The sequence below is a fragment of the Homo sapiens genome, chromosome 2 (assembly GCF_000001405.40).
Source record: "Homo sapiens chromosome 2, GRCh38.p14 Primary Assembly".
Taxonomy (NCBI): domain Eukaryota; kingdom Metazoa; phylum Chordata; class Mammalia; order Primates; family Hominidae; genus Homo; species Homo sapiens.
Genome location: NC_000002.12, coordinates 85,875,313 through 85,888,755, shown reverse-complemented (window position 1 = coordinate 85,888,755; position 13,443 = coordinate 85,875,313). Strand labels below are relative to the sequence as shown.

Sequence of the window (13,443 nt, the reverse complement as noted above, 5' to 3'; positions counted from 1 at the left end):
CTCTTCCCGGGCCGGCTGGGCGCGGCGTTTCCGCCTCGAACCCCGCGGGCAGCGCCCAGGGCACGACACCCTCAGGCGAGCCCGGCTGGGGCGCGGGCGGAGGGTCGTGGTCCCGGGCCGTGTGGACCGGGCGGGGGGTCCCACGCAGGTGTGTACGCGGTAGAGGGTGGGGCGGACCGCCGGGTGTCGGGTCCCGCCGCAGTGGCCCTTTCCCCGCCGCTTTCCGCTGCAGCTCGGGATTTAATTCATTGCTGGAAGCTTCGGAGTTAGCAGAGCCGAGTTAACTCGTTTTCCTGGGATGGGCTTAGGGAACCCCCTGCAAGGTTACTAGCAGCTCCTGAAACCTCTCTCTGCATCCATCGGGGAGGCGTGATGTGGGGCCGCTGGTAGAAATTTGCCGGTGACCTTCCCTGCACCCTCTCTGCAGCCAGCCTTGCGGAGAAGACAGGTTTTGGCGACCTTTTGATTTCTTCTGAATTGTAAGCCGTGGCTTGACGCGGGTGTGCATTCATTGTACGCCTTGCGTGTGTAAGTAACGCAGGGTTTTCCGAGAGCATCCCCGAGGAGCCCTGCCCTTGCCTCACACCCGCTTGGTGACCTTGGCAGACACTGATCCCCCTGTGGGGCTCGGGCTCATGGTCTCTCCTGAGAAGCTTACCCTGCCGATGGCCGAGGTCCCTTCCAGGCCCCGGGTTTTTCTAATCATAAAAAAATACGTTTACGAGGGTAGAGGATCCTGCAGAATCTCTAGCTGACTCGGAAGACGAATTTTATATCCTCATGTCTTAAGTCATGCATGCGGCTTTTGCTTAATTAGGCATCGTTCATTTGAAGGGGAAAATGGTTTTATGTGCTGCGCTTCATCTGGCACCAGTGGTTGCCTGCTCCTCGTGGCAGGGCCGTGCTGGGTGTCACAGAGAGGAAGGAGACTCATCTCCTGCCCTCTGGTGTTTAGCTGCCCTCCCCCGGGCTTATGGCTGCTAATCCTTTTCCACGGAAGGATACAGCTGCTGAAACTGTGGAAGAGGAATCCATTTCTGCTGCATGAAGGGGCACAGACTTGAATACAGTCAGGACAGGTTGTGGTTTCACTTGTGTAATCCTGAGAGCTTGACAGCTTCGAGGAGTGTCTAACATTGCTAGTAACAGAGCCTAGAAGCACCTGAATTCCAGCTGTCACTTGGAGAAGGAGAGATTCATACGAACTGCGAGAGCATATAACCAGCATGTCTTGAGTCTTTTACCCATGTGCCTGTTATATGGATGCTGCTGTTTTTGTAAGATGAAATGACCCTTGGATATTCTGGGTTATGATCAGCATTTCTTCGTCTAGGCGAGAAAAGAAACAGGTGAGATAGGAAGGCATGAAGGGGCTCATGGAAGAGAGAGGGCTGACAGGCAGAAATTTTGAGAGCTCACATTTACGACTATTTGGACAGTTCTTATAATTTTGGCATAAATTGTAAATTGTTGCATGTTATCAAAATAGATTGGTGATGAACGTTAAGGATATATCCGTGGCAGAATAAGAACACACTCTTTGTTCTTTGGTTTGCTCCTCTAGTTCTTCCCTGCTTGCCTTGTGGGACTATTTGCAGCAATGAGGGGAATTTATCTAGCAGGTTGGCCTCGGGAGGCAATGAATGAAAAGAGGTTGGTGAGTCCTCTGTGGGAGTCCATTCCAGGTCCTGGAGGGCTGAGGTGGGTGTCTTGGAGCCAGCAGTTTCTGGGAGAAGGGATAAAGCTCACCTTCCACACCCTCCTGGCTCCTGAGGAGCGATTTAATCCGCACTGCCTGTGGACACGATGGAGGACTGAGATCACTCCCGAAGGGCATGCTCCGTGGTTTTAGTCTGCTGGGAAGCTCTGGCAGAAGTAAAACAACTGGGAATATACACATGTTAATGATGCTCCAAGCTGCCTAACTGCTGAGGAAGGAAAAGCAAGGGCTGGATCAGTGTGGGTGGCATAAGTTAGCAAAGGCATCCAAAGTGGGGTGAATCACAGGCCTGGTGTGGGAGGAAACCATAAATATGACGGTGACACGCAGGCTCGCCCGGGAGACAGCCAGCTTAAGCACACGTGCAGAGGAGAAGCAAGTGAAATGCGTAAGGGAGCAGGAGAAAAATCAGCTTTGAGGCTTCAAGGACACTACCAGGCTTGTCTTACCTGGACACCAGACAGACAAAACTTTTTTTTCCTCTTTTTTTTTTAAGTATAGCATAGATACTAGGAAAGTAGACATACCATAAGTGTCCTGCTCAATGAATTTTCCAGACTGAACATGCCCATGCACTCAGCACTTAGATCAACAAACAGAACTGGCCGGGACCCTGGGAGCTCCCCTTGTGTTGTACTCCAGTCGCGGCCTCCCCCAGGATCAGCCTTGAACTCCTGGAGTCAAGCAATCCTCCTGCCTTAGCCTCCTCAGTAGCTGAGACTACGGGCACACACCACCAGACCCAGCTAATTTGTTTTATTTTATTTTGTAGAGACGGCTCCCACTGTGTTGTCCAGGCTGGTCTCTGGCAACTCCTAGCCTCAAACTATTCTCCCACATTGCCCTCCCAAAGCGCTGAGATTACAGGCGTGAGCAATTGCGCCTGGCTGGCTAGTGTATGCCTTCTTTCCTTAAGCATTGAGTTTCTGAGAATCACTCATGATGCTGCCCATGGTTGAAGCATGTTCACTCTCATTGGTGATAGGGGCCATTGGGTGAATATACCACATAGTCACGCATTGTTAGTGGACATTTGGGCAGTTTGCAGCATTTGTCTGTTACAGAAAGTGCCGCTGTGACCACTCTAGTGTCTGGCTTTGGTACATATGTGTCTGCATTTCTGATAGGTCCATACCTAGGCATGGTATTGCTGTTTTAGGAGCCACAGGCACAGCTATTTTACTCCAGTTTTTTTTTTCTTTTTTTTTTTTTTGAGACAGAGTCTCGCCGTCGCCCAGGCTGGAGTGCAGTGGCACGATCTCAGTTCACTGCAGGCTCCGCCTCCGGGGTTCACGCCATTCTGCCTCAGCTTCCCGAGTAGCTGGGACTACAGGCGCCTGCCACCTCGCCCGGCTAATTTTTTGTATTTTTAGTAGAGACAGGGTTTCACTGTGTTAGCCAGGATGGTCTCGATTTCCTGACCTCGTGATCCGCCCACCTCGGCCTCCCAAAGTGCTGGGATTACAGGCGTGAGCCACCGCGCCCGACCTTATTCCAGTTTTGAAATGATCACACTGGTAGTTCCTCACTGTTCGCTGATGAGGGCCACAGTTCTAAGGAGACTGGGGAAGGAATCAGGAGTCCTTCTGGCAGTCAGGATCAGTTTCTACCTGGCTGTGTATGGTGCCAGCAAGTGTGGTCACCTATAGGCCCCAGTCTCCCAGTGGGTCAGGCAGCAGGGCAAGGTGAGCTGTGAGGAACCCTTAGCTCCCCAAGAGCCTCTGACCTAAGGGAAGTGTTTCTCTGGTGAAACTGCCTGGCTTGGTCTCAACTCCCACCCTTGTTGCTGCAAACAAACCACTCCTCTCTGAGCTCTCATAATACTGCACTTCCTATACTTTATGTCTACTTCTGTGGCCTGCTTTCTCTGCATTTCTGCTAAAAATTATCCGTGACCTAGAGGAAAAGCCCATTTCTTATTTGGGTTTTTGAGGCCATGTAAGACATTTTTGTTGTCCCGTTATTACAGCATGGAAAAATGTTCAGGATTAAGTTATTGGATGGTTCACCAAGTCCTGTACCCATGAATTCTTTCCTTTTTTCCTTCAATTTTTAACATCTGGGATTATAACAGTTAAGTATCATGTGATAGGATAGGATCAGTTTGATAAAAATAACAGATTAGAAAGGTCTGCTTTGGTGGAATAGTACTTCTGTCTTTTGACTGTTAAGGCTGTTTTTAAGACCATCTCTTTTTCATAATTCAGAGCTTATGTGTATTGAGTTCTGAGCAGGGGCAGTTTTTCTGTTACACGTGTCGTTTCTTCCTCAGCCTTCCTCTCTCCTCCTCAGCCTCTGTGTTTTTATCCTCTTCTGCCCTGTTCTTCACCCCCTTTTTGCTTTTCATAAACATCTTATTCTCATCTCTAATCTATACTCTAGCAGAAAAGAGTAGGACAAGTATGGCCTCTGATACTCTCCTCTCTTTGCTTGTCACTTTCTGCAGTCCAGTTGTTGTCACCCAGGACTTAGGGACTGATGTGGGCTTCTTGCTCATCCTTCGTCTAGATCACCACTGTCCAGTGGAAACATAACCTGAGCCACTTGTCCAATTTTATATTTTCTAGTAACTACATTTTAAAAATTGAAAAGAAACAGGTAGATCAAAGTTTCAATTTCCCAAAAAGTTTCCATTTCTAAACTCTTATGCACCTAATAACACAGCTGCACACTATGTAAATTATTAATGAGCTGCTTTATATTCTGCTTTTCACAGTAAATTCACTCCCTGCCCCCACAAATGAACCCACATGCTACAAAACATAGATATGACAAAAAGAAATAAGTGCTTTCCTACTCACTTTATTCTCATCTATTGTAGACATGTTATATATACTAACTAATGTAATGTTCACCACAGCCCTCAGTGTTTGGTACCATTGTCATCCCCATTTTATAAAGGAGGGTATTGAGGAACAGAGGTTAAGAAGCCATAGGGGGCAGAGCTGGGTTCAGACTCAGGCAGTCTGGCCTAGAGGTGGTAAATGAGGCTGTCGTATCCATGTCTTTGTGGTCTGTAGTGCATTCCCAGCCTGCCCCTTGGAACAGCTACTGGTGAAATTGGCGAGGGTGATCTTAGGGGCCTGAGAGATGGCTCCATCCTGTCAGGTGAGTGGGCTCCTGGGCAGTGCCGTCATCACTTCCCTGGAGCTCCACAGCAGCCTCTTAACTGGTCCTGCTTCGTGAGAGGACTTCCCCATCTCCAGTCCAGCCTCGAGAGAGGTCTCCAAAATCCAATTCCACTTTAAACCACCTCACCACTGGTTGCTCCCTTTTATTCTTAGAGTAAAATTGCAGCCCCCTGTGGCATGGACTGCTTGCTTTTCTAGCGTCTCAGGGTGCTGTGCCCTCCTGGGTAGACCCTTTAGGCACACTGCACTTGGCGTTCTTTAGGCACGCTGCACTTGACATTCTGCCATCCGTCCCCACTGTCCCTGCTCCCGAGGCACCTGCCTCTCCCATCCCATTCCAGTTCCTATTCAGGCCTGGGCAGAAACGTTCTTTCCTCTGGGAACCCTTTCCTAAGACACACATTGTATTAGTCCGTTTTCACACTGCTGATAAAGAGATACCCCAGACTGGGCAATTTACAAAAGAAAGAGGTTTAATTGGACTTACAGTTCCACGTGGCTGGGGAAGGTCTCACAATCATGGTGGAGGGCAAAAGGCACTTCTTGCATGGTGGAGGCAAGAGAGAAGGAAGAAGAAGCAAAAGCAGAAACCCCTGATAAACCCATCAGATCTCATGAGACTTATTCACTATCATGAGAATAACATGGGAAAGACCGGCCCCCATGATTCAATTACCTCCCCCGGGTCCCTCCCACAACATGTGGGAATTCTGGGAGACACAATTCAAGTTGAGATTTGGGTGGAGACAGAGCCAAATCATAGCATTCCTCCCCTGGCCCCTCCAAATCTCATGTCCTCTCATTTCAAAACCAATCGTGCCTTCTCAACACTCACCCAAAGTCTTAGCTCATTTCAGCATTAACCCAAAAGTCCACCGACCAAAGTCTCATCTGAGACAAGCCAAGTCCCTTCTGCCTATGGGCCTATAAAATCAAAAGCAAGTTAGATACAATAGGGGTACAGGCATTGGGATAGCCATTCCAAATGGGAGAAATTGGCCAAAACAAAGGGGCTACAGGCACCATGCAAGTCCGAAATCCAGTGGAGCAGTCAATTTTTTTTTTTTTTTGAGACAGAGTCTCTCTCCGTTGCACAGGCTGGAGTGCAATGGCGTGCGATCTCAGCTCACTGCAACCTCCGCCTCCTGGGTTCAAGTGATTCTCCTGCCTCAGTCTCCCAAGTAGCTGGGATTACAGGTGTGTGCCACCACATCCGGCTAATTTTTTTTTGTATTTTTAGTAGAGATGGGGTTTCACCATGTTGGCCAGGCTGGTCTTGAACTCCTGACCTCAAGTGATCCACCTCGGCCTCCCAAAGTGCTAGGATTACAGGTGTGAGCTACTACACCTGGCCCAAATCTTAAAGTTCCAAAATGATCTCCTTTGACTCCATGTCTCTCATCCAGGTCATGCTGATACAAGAGGTAAGTTTCCATGGTCTTGGGCAGCTCTGCCCCTGTGGCTTTGCAGGTTACGCCCTCCCTCCTAGCCACTTTCATGGGCTGGTGTTGAGTGTCTACAGCTTTTCCAGGCACACGGTACAAGCTGTCAGTGGATCTACCATTCTGGGGTCTGGAGGACGGTGGCCCTCTTCTCACAGCTCCACTAGGTAGTGCCCCAGTAGGGACTCTGTGTGGCTGCTCTGACCCCACATTTCCCTTCTGCACTGCCCTAACAGAGGTTCTCCATGAGGTCCCCGCCCCTGCAGCAAACTTTTGCCTGGGCATCCAGGTGTTTCCATACATCTTCTGAAATCTAGGCAGAGGTTCCCAAACCTCAGTTCTTGACTAGGCTGCCAAGGCTTGGGGCTTCCACCCTCTGAAGCCACAGCCCAAGCTGTACATTGGCCCCTTTCAGCCACGGCTGGAGTGGCTGGGACACAGGGCACTAAGTCCCTAGGCTGCACACAGCATGGGGACTCTGGGCCTAGCCCATGAAACCACTTTTTCCTCCTGGGCCTCCAGGCCTGTGATGGGAGGGACTGCTGTGAAGGTCTCTCACATTGCCTGGAGACATTTTCCCCAGGGTCTTGGGGATTAACATTAGTCTCCTTGCTACTTATGCAAATTTCTGCAGCTGGCTTGAATTTCTCCCCAGAAAATGGGGTTTCCTTTTCTGTCACATAGTCAGGCTGCAAATTTTCTCAACTTTTATGCTCTGTTCCCCTTTTAAAACTGAATGCCTTTAACAGTACCCACGTCACCTCTTGACTGCTTTCCTGCTTAGAAATTTCTTCCACCAGATACCCTAAATCATCTCTCTCAACTTCAAAGTTCCACACATTTCTACGGCAGGGGCAAAATGCTGCCAGTCTCTTTGCTAAAACATAAAAGAGTCACCTTTGCTTCAGTTCCCAACAAGTTCCTCATCTCCATCTGAGACCACCTCAACCTGGATATTTATTGTCCATGCTACTATCAGCATTTTGGGCAAAGTCATTCAACAAGCCTCCAGAAAATTCCAAACTTTCCCACATTTTCCTTTCTTTTTCTGAGCCCTTCAAACTGTTCCAATCTCTGCCTGTTACACAGTTTTAAAGTTGCTTCCAGATTTTCAGGTATCTTTTCAGCTACGCCCCATCTACTGGTACCAATTTACTGTATTAGTCCATTTTCACACTGCTGATAAAGACATACCCAAGACTGGGCAATTTATACAAGAAAGAGGTTTAATTGGATTTACAGTTCCACATGTCTGGGGAAGGTCTCACAATCATGGTAGAGGGCAAAAGGCACTTCTTACATGGCAGCAGCAAGAGAGAATGAGGAAGCAGAAAAAGCAGAAACCCCTGATAAATGCATCAGATCTCATGAGACTTATTCAGTATGAGAATAGCACAGGAAAGACCAGCCCCCGTGATTCAATTACCTCCCCTGGGTCCCTCCCACAACACGTGGGAATTCTGGGAGATACAATTCAAGTTGAGATTTGGGTGGGGACAGAGCCAAACCATATCACACATACACCCCAAATCTGAAACATCATCTGACACTCTGCCCGCATGTCCAACATAGATAAGTTAAAATAGACCTACTTGTCTATTTTTTAAAATGAGATTATGAGAGTTTTTTTTTTTCTTTTTAGACAGATTCTTGGTCTGTCACCCAGGCTGGAGTGCAGTGGCACCATCTTGGCTCACTGCAACCTCAGCCTCCCAGGAGCAACTGGTTCTCCTGTCTCAGCCTCCCGAGTAGCTGGGACTACAGGTGCACGCCACCAAGCCCAGCTAATTTTTGTATTTTTAGTAGAGACAGGGTTTTGCCATGTTGGTCAGGCTGGTCTTGAACTCCTGACCTAAGGTGATCCACCCACCTCAGCCTCCCAAAGTGCTGGGATTACAGGCATGAGCCACCATGCCCAGCCTATGAGAGCTTTTTGAAGGAGGGACAGTGCGTGTGTTTCTTGTTGCTATCTCCCCAGGCACATACTCCTATTTGATCAAAAATGGGTTGTATAATTAAAAACTGTTATGTCTGTTGGGGAGCCTGCCCAAATGCTGGTTTCCCAGAATTTCAGAGCCAACAGTAAAAGAGATGTGAGTGGGGTGTAAAAGAAAATTATATGTTTTAGTTAGACCTGAATATATGTTGTTGGTTTTAGAAATGGAAATGTAACTTGTTCTGAGTTTTAAGCAGCCCAAACAAAATCTCCTTTTGTCTCCTGTACAATTCCTCCCTCTCCTTCCAACCCTAAATTGCCAGGTCCTGCCAAACTCCGGGTTGTCACTGTCCCAGTCACTGTCCCTCCAGTTCCTTTTCTAGGGTCATTATTTTCTGATTTGGGGCTTTCTATGACTCCTCTGGTTCTTCTGTTCCTATAAGACATACAGGATTACTGAATACCATGGGTTATTGGAAAAAACTGCCTAGCAAATTCCCTATCTTCCCTTCCCATCCACCTGGACAGCTGTTCCCTGAAGAATATTTCTAAGATCCTATTTGGTGATATCACTTTTATAGTCCAAAACCTTAAGAACTTTCACCTTATGCTTTCTGCGGCAGTGGGATCTTCATTGTTTTAGAAATTGCCCACAAACTTTCCCATCATCTGATACCCTGTGTTCCCCATTCTGCTCAAGTTTAGTAAAAGGCCCATATGTTGGAGCCTTTGGGTACTGGGTCCCAGAATTGCTTTTTGTTAACTGTCAGTTCTGCTGACTTTCACTTTCTCCTGTTAAGTATTATTTATTCAGCCCAACTACTTGTATTTCCTTTGGGTTAAGAGGGAAATGTTCCATTAAACATTTAGCTTCTAGATTTTGCCTTATTTGGGGTATTCATGGGGTTGCCACAGAGTTGTTCTCTCATAGCAGATTCTGCGTGTATAATGTGCTGTCACACAGGCCCACCACAGGAAAGCTATTATGTAAAAGCTTGATGGGACCCCAGGGGGAGGGGCAGTTCTAGGGGCAATTTCTTCAGTTTACCCCTAGTGTCATGTCTTGCTCCCTCTGGCCTCTTTCTCTTTGAGGGACACCCCTACCTTCACCATTAAATCATTTTGAGAAACAGTAACATTTGAAGCCTTCTTGCATACCTTCTCCCCTGCGACTCCCCTCTTTAGCCACCTGAATTTGTTACACAGGATGGGTCTTGGCTGGCCCAGTGCTATAATAATAGCCCCTCCTGGCTTGGGCACCAAGTCCTGTGGCACCTTCCTCCTCCACATCTCTTGGTTGGCCACCTTCCGGCCTTTCTGGCTGTGGCTCAGCTCCTCCGTCACCCCTCACTGCACTGATCTCAGTGGTCTTTTGATTACCCTGTCCCTTGGCCTCTTTCATGCCAGTATGAGCTCACCACTCTCCTACTTAAGAACCACTTAGGGCCATCCTCCTTTGTGTAACATAAGAGAGCCTGGTTCCTTCCTAGCTGCGTCTTCTGCCCACTGTTCCCCAGGCCCCTGTAATCTGGCCCGAGCACACACCTCTCTCTGTGTGTCTTGGCATTACCTTCCTTCTGTCTGGAATGCCGCCTCCTCTCTCTGTCCTGTCTCCAGAGTCTTAGTCATTCTTCGAGGACCCATTCATACATAACCTCCTCAGGGAGGCCTCCCTGATTTCCTCTGATGGAGCCTGTGGTTTCCTGCCCAGGATGCACAAGGTCTACTGTAGCTCCTCTATCACAGCGTTATTTGGTATTTCGAGTATTTGGGCATTTTCAGTTTTCCTAGCTGGATTATTCATTTAAAGAGGAAAGCGGCTGTGTCTTATTTATTTTTATATTCCCAGTGCTTGGTGTATGGAAGAAGCTTATGAAATTTTTATTTAAAGGATTGTTAGGTAAACAAAGAAAATTAGACAACCATACAGACCAGCCCTTCTCAACTGAGGTTCTACAAGAGACTTTTGTCCCAATACTGTCAGGCGACCATTGTATGTTATGAATTAACTTCTCTCCTTGCTTCTGGAATGATTCTAGTTATAGATCATTCCTGGGAGAATTGAGAAAAATCTGTTCTTTTTTGTAGGACTTCATTCCCGAGTGGAATGCACCTTGAATGAGGCTGGTGTAGATAGCATGACCCCCGTCATGATAGTATATCTATGCAAAGAGCAGAGGCTGACAGAATACAGACCAGAATGTTAACAGTGGGTATCACTGGGTTGTAAGATAACAGTGATTTTTAAATGTTCTGTTCTTATATTATTTTCTGAAATTTCTACTTGTGTCCTAACAGGGTTTTTAAAATATTTCTTGGGTAAGGCAAATCAGAGTTTCTAAACCTGGTCATCAGTTGAGAGTAGAGTTCTTGTTTTTAAATGTAGCTGCCTACATTGTGCCACAGTGAGCTGGGAATCACCAAGCTGAGCCGTGCAGCGTTGCCCTTGGAAAATCAGGCATTGGTGTGAGGATGGCTCCAGCTGTTAGCTCTCTGGACCTGGGTGTCTCTTCTTGCTGCCACTGGACACTTTGTGAATTGAAGGGCTAAGTTTCTAGCAGACATGGAAGCACCAATAGAGAAATTACCATACTCCCAACTCATATATACTGTATTCTCAAAAGAAAATCTAAAGGTTATTTTTTTTTCTTAATAGCTAAGAGTGAACATAAATGGGGAAATTAAGTCTGATAGGAGTCTTACATGTTAATTTTTGTTCATCACCTACTGTTTTATCCAGCCCTAGTTTCATTCCTGAGGTTTGAATTTGTTTGACCTCACAGAGTCATATCCTTCTCCTGCAAGAATCTACTGGTGGATACTGAAACAAGTAGATTTGATGATAAACAGGATATTTACTTAGTCTGTAAGTATCTCCCATCAAGTCACTTATTAATTACGAAGGGAAAATAGTCAACTCGACAGTGGAAGAACCTGGCATCTACCACCTTAACCCTTAATCAAATCAACATCACATGCCTCCTGAGAAGTGCTTTGAGAAGCGCACAGGATCACTTCTGTGATATTCCAGCCAAAAATGCATAAGTTGAATCTAATCATGAAGAAACATTAGACAAACTCCAGTTGAGGGACTTTCTACAAAATAATTGGCTGTACTTTTCAAAAATGCCAAGGTCATGAAAGATAAAGGAACGGTTTCAGATTAAAGAAGGCTAAAGGAACATAACAGTGAATGCCAAATGATCCTGGACTGGACCCTGTAACAGAAAATAAGAAAATGACATATATTCTTGCTATTTTTGTTCTAAGGCCATCACTGGGACTAATGGAGAAATTTATATAAGGTATTTAGGTAACAGTACTGAATCAGTGTTAATTTCCTAATTATGATTATGCTGTGGTTGTTTAAAGGGGATGTCTTTGTTTTTAGGAAATACTAAAATATTTAGGGGTAGGTGTCATCATGTCTTCAAGTTTCAAATGGTCCAATAAATATGCACACAGTATACCAATGGAATGGCAGCACAAATGTGGTAAAATGGTAACAACTGGGGAGTCTGGTTAAAGGGCAGATGGAAATTCTTTATGCTGTTTTTGCAACTTTAAGTTTGAAATTATTTCAAGATAAAGTTTAAAAACTGCAGCCTCCAGGTCTTGGGTGCTGTGGCCAGTCTAGCATCAGAAGCCACCATAGGGCTTTTCAGTGTCTGCCCTTTCCGTGGTCATTATAGAAGTCACGCCCACAGCACTGAGCTTTCTTGCAGAATTTGTTTTGTCTCCTCTGGTACCATCAGGAAACAGTGTAGAGGGTCGGGCGTGGTGGCTCACACCTCCCAGCACTTTGGGAGGCTGAGGTGGGCAGATCACTTGAGGTCAGGAGTTCAAGACCAGCCTGGCCAACAAGGTGAAACCCCGTCTCTACTAAAAATACAAAAATTAGCTGGGTGCGGTGGCACGCACCTATAATCCCAGCTACTCTGGAGGTTGAGGCAGGAGAATCCCTTGAAACCTGGGAGGCGGAGGTTGCGGCGCCGAGATCATGCCACCTCACTGCAGCCTGGGCAACAGAGTGAGACTCCGTCTCAAAAAAAAAAAAAAAAAAAGGAAAAAGAAAAAGAAAAGAAAACAGGGTGGAGGAACACTTAACAGTGTGGCTTTGCTGAACCTGAAGGTTCCTTCCAGCCCCCAACCACCCATTGCCACTGCTATTTTAGGGGACTGCAGTCCTTGTAGCTGTCCTCAGGCATCTGGTCAACCAACTCTGACCCATACATTTACCTGGTTTAGACTAGCCCTACAGCTGCCCCTGAAAGAGGCTTCCCAGGCAGAATATAAGTTTTAAAATATATTTAAACACATTTGAGGGTGTTTATGCCCAGAGATCAGTGCACTTCACCAGGGTGCTTTGGTGGACCTCTTGGAGGGTGCATTTTACCCAAATCCTCAGCATTTGCCAGTTAAAGATGGGTCTCTCCACTACCTTGACAGAACTCAGGTTGTATGTTTTGGCAGAAATCACGAATTTATTATGTCCTGCATGATGAAGAGGGTCCTTCCTCAGCCCCACTTTTAAAACCTAGTTTAGGGCAACCTTCTACGCTTCTGGCTGGAACCTCTCCTGTGGGGAGGGGAGCAGGCGGCAGGTCTTGGAATCAGAGGAGGATCTCTGAGGTGCTGCCTGTAATCGCTTTGTGGGTAGGTCTGCTTATAAGAATTCGCAAAGAGGAGTTCCTCTGAAACTCCCTAGCCCCGGGAAACAGAAAGAAGAACAGTGCTGGGGCTTCTCTTCCTGTTCCTGTCTTTTCCTTCCAGTTCCCCCTTCCCAGAATTTCCTGTCTCTCAACCTCCACTCTGTTTTCTCCGCCCCAGTGTTCCCCCACTCTCTTTCATTTTTATTGTCTTAAATCCACTTCTCCCACTTATTCCAGCTTTCTGGTTTTCTCCCCTAGATGGCTATAACATATTAGCATCAATTGAGTAAGCTAAGCTTCATGTTTCTTGTTCTTCCTTTGAAATGTAGATGAGTGAGAATCGTAACATTTTATTGGAGGAAGGAGCCATAGAAATGTTGTCACCCAACCCTGCTTTCTACAGATTACCAAACATCCTCAAAGAGATTGAGTGATTTGGCTGTTATCAAATAGCCAAACAGTTGAGTATTTCATCTCTTTGCTCTTCTCTTTAAAAAAAAAAAAAAAAAAAATCAGGCAAGTGTGGTAACTCACGCCTGCAAATTCCAGTACTTTGGGAGGC

At 46.7% G+C, this 13,443-nt stretch overlaps 1 protein-coding gene across 16 annotated transcripts in view, besides 6 other annotated features; it reads left to right on the top strand.

Moving 5' to 3' along the window:
- The window catches only part of ST3GAL5 (ST3 beta-galactoside alpha-2,3-sialyltransferase 5), a 51,915-nt gene that overhangs the window by 279 nt on the left and 38,193 nt on the right, over window positions 1–13,443 (top strand). For 4 of the 16 annotated variants that reach the window (XM_047446240.1, XM_047446238.1, XM_047446237.1 and 1 more), the window contains exon 1: window positions 1,207–1,349. The exons of 10 other annotated variants lie outside the window; for them this stretch is intronic. The gene's annotated coding sequence lies outside the window, so the exon portion shown is untranslated. Of the gene's footprint in view, window positions 1–8; window positions 149–1,206; window positions 1,350–13,210; window positions 13,342–13,443 lie in introns of those variants that run through there. 2 more of the 16 variants (NM_001354229.2, NM_001354234.1) reach the window with 2 other exon arrangements.
- Window positions 25–144: a silencer, noted in NCBI's record as "silent region_11708". NCBI's record gives its function as "represses an Ori minimal core promoter by ATAC-STARR-seq in GM12878 lymphoblastoid cells {active_cell/tissue: GM12878}" and the evidence as "EXISTENCE:reporter gene assay evidence [ECO:0000049][PMID:35858748]".
- Window positions 25–586: a biological region, named in NCBI's record as "H3K4me1 hESC enhancer GRCh37_chr2:86115293-86115793".
- Window positions 86–586: an enhancer, noted in NCBI's record as "H3K4me1 hESC enhancer chr2:86115293-86115793 (GRCh37/hg19 assembly coordinates)". NCBI's record gives its function as "activates a minimal SCP1, AML or CMV promoter by ChIP-STARR-seq in primed H9 embryonic stem cells {active_cell/tissue: H9 hESC(primed)}" and the evidence as "EXISTENCE:reporter gene assay evidence [ECO:0000049][PMID:30033119]".
- Window positions 315–394: an enhancer, noted in NCBI's record as "active region_16146". NCBI's record gives its function as "activates an Ori minimal core promoter by ATAC-STARR-seq in GM12878 lymphoblastoid cells {active_cell/tissue: GM12878}" and the evidence as "EXISTENCE:reporter gene assay evidence [ECO:0000049][PMID:35858748]".
- Window positions 925–1,054: an enhancer, noted in NCBI's record as "active region_16145". NCBI's record gives its function as "activates an Ori minimal core promoter by ATAC-STARR-seq in GM12878 lymphoblastoid cells {active_cell/tissue: GM12878}" and the evidence as "EXISTENCE:reporter gene assay evidence [ECO:0000049][PMID:35858748]".
- Window positions 1,065–1,184: an enhancer, noted in NCBI's record as "active region_16144". NCBI's record gives its function as "activates an Ori minimal core promoter by ATAC-STARR-seq in GM12878 lymphoblastoid cells {active_cell/tissue: GM12878}" and the evidence as "EXISTENCE:reporter gene assay evidence [ECO:0000049][PMID:35858748]".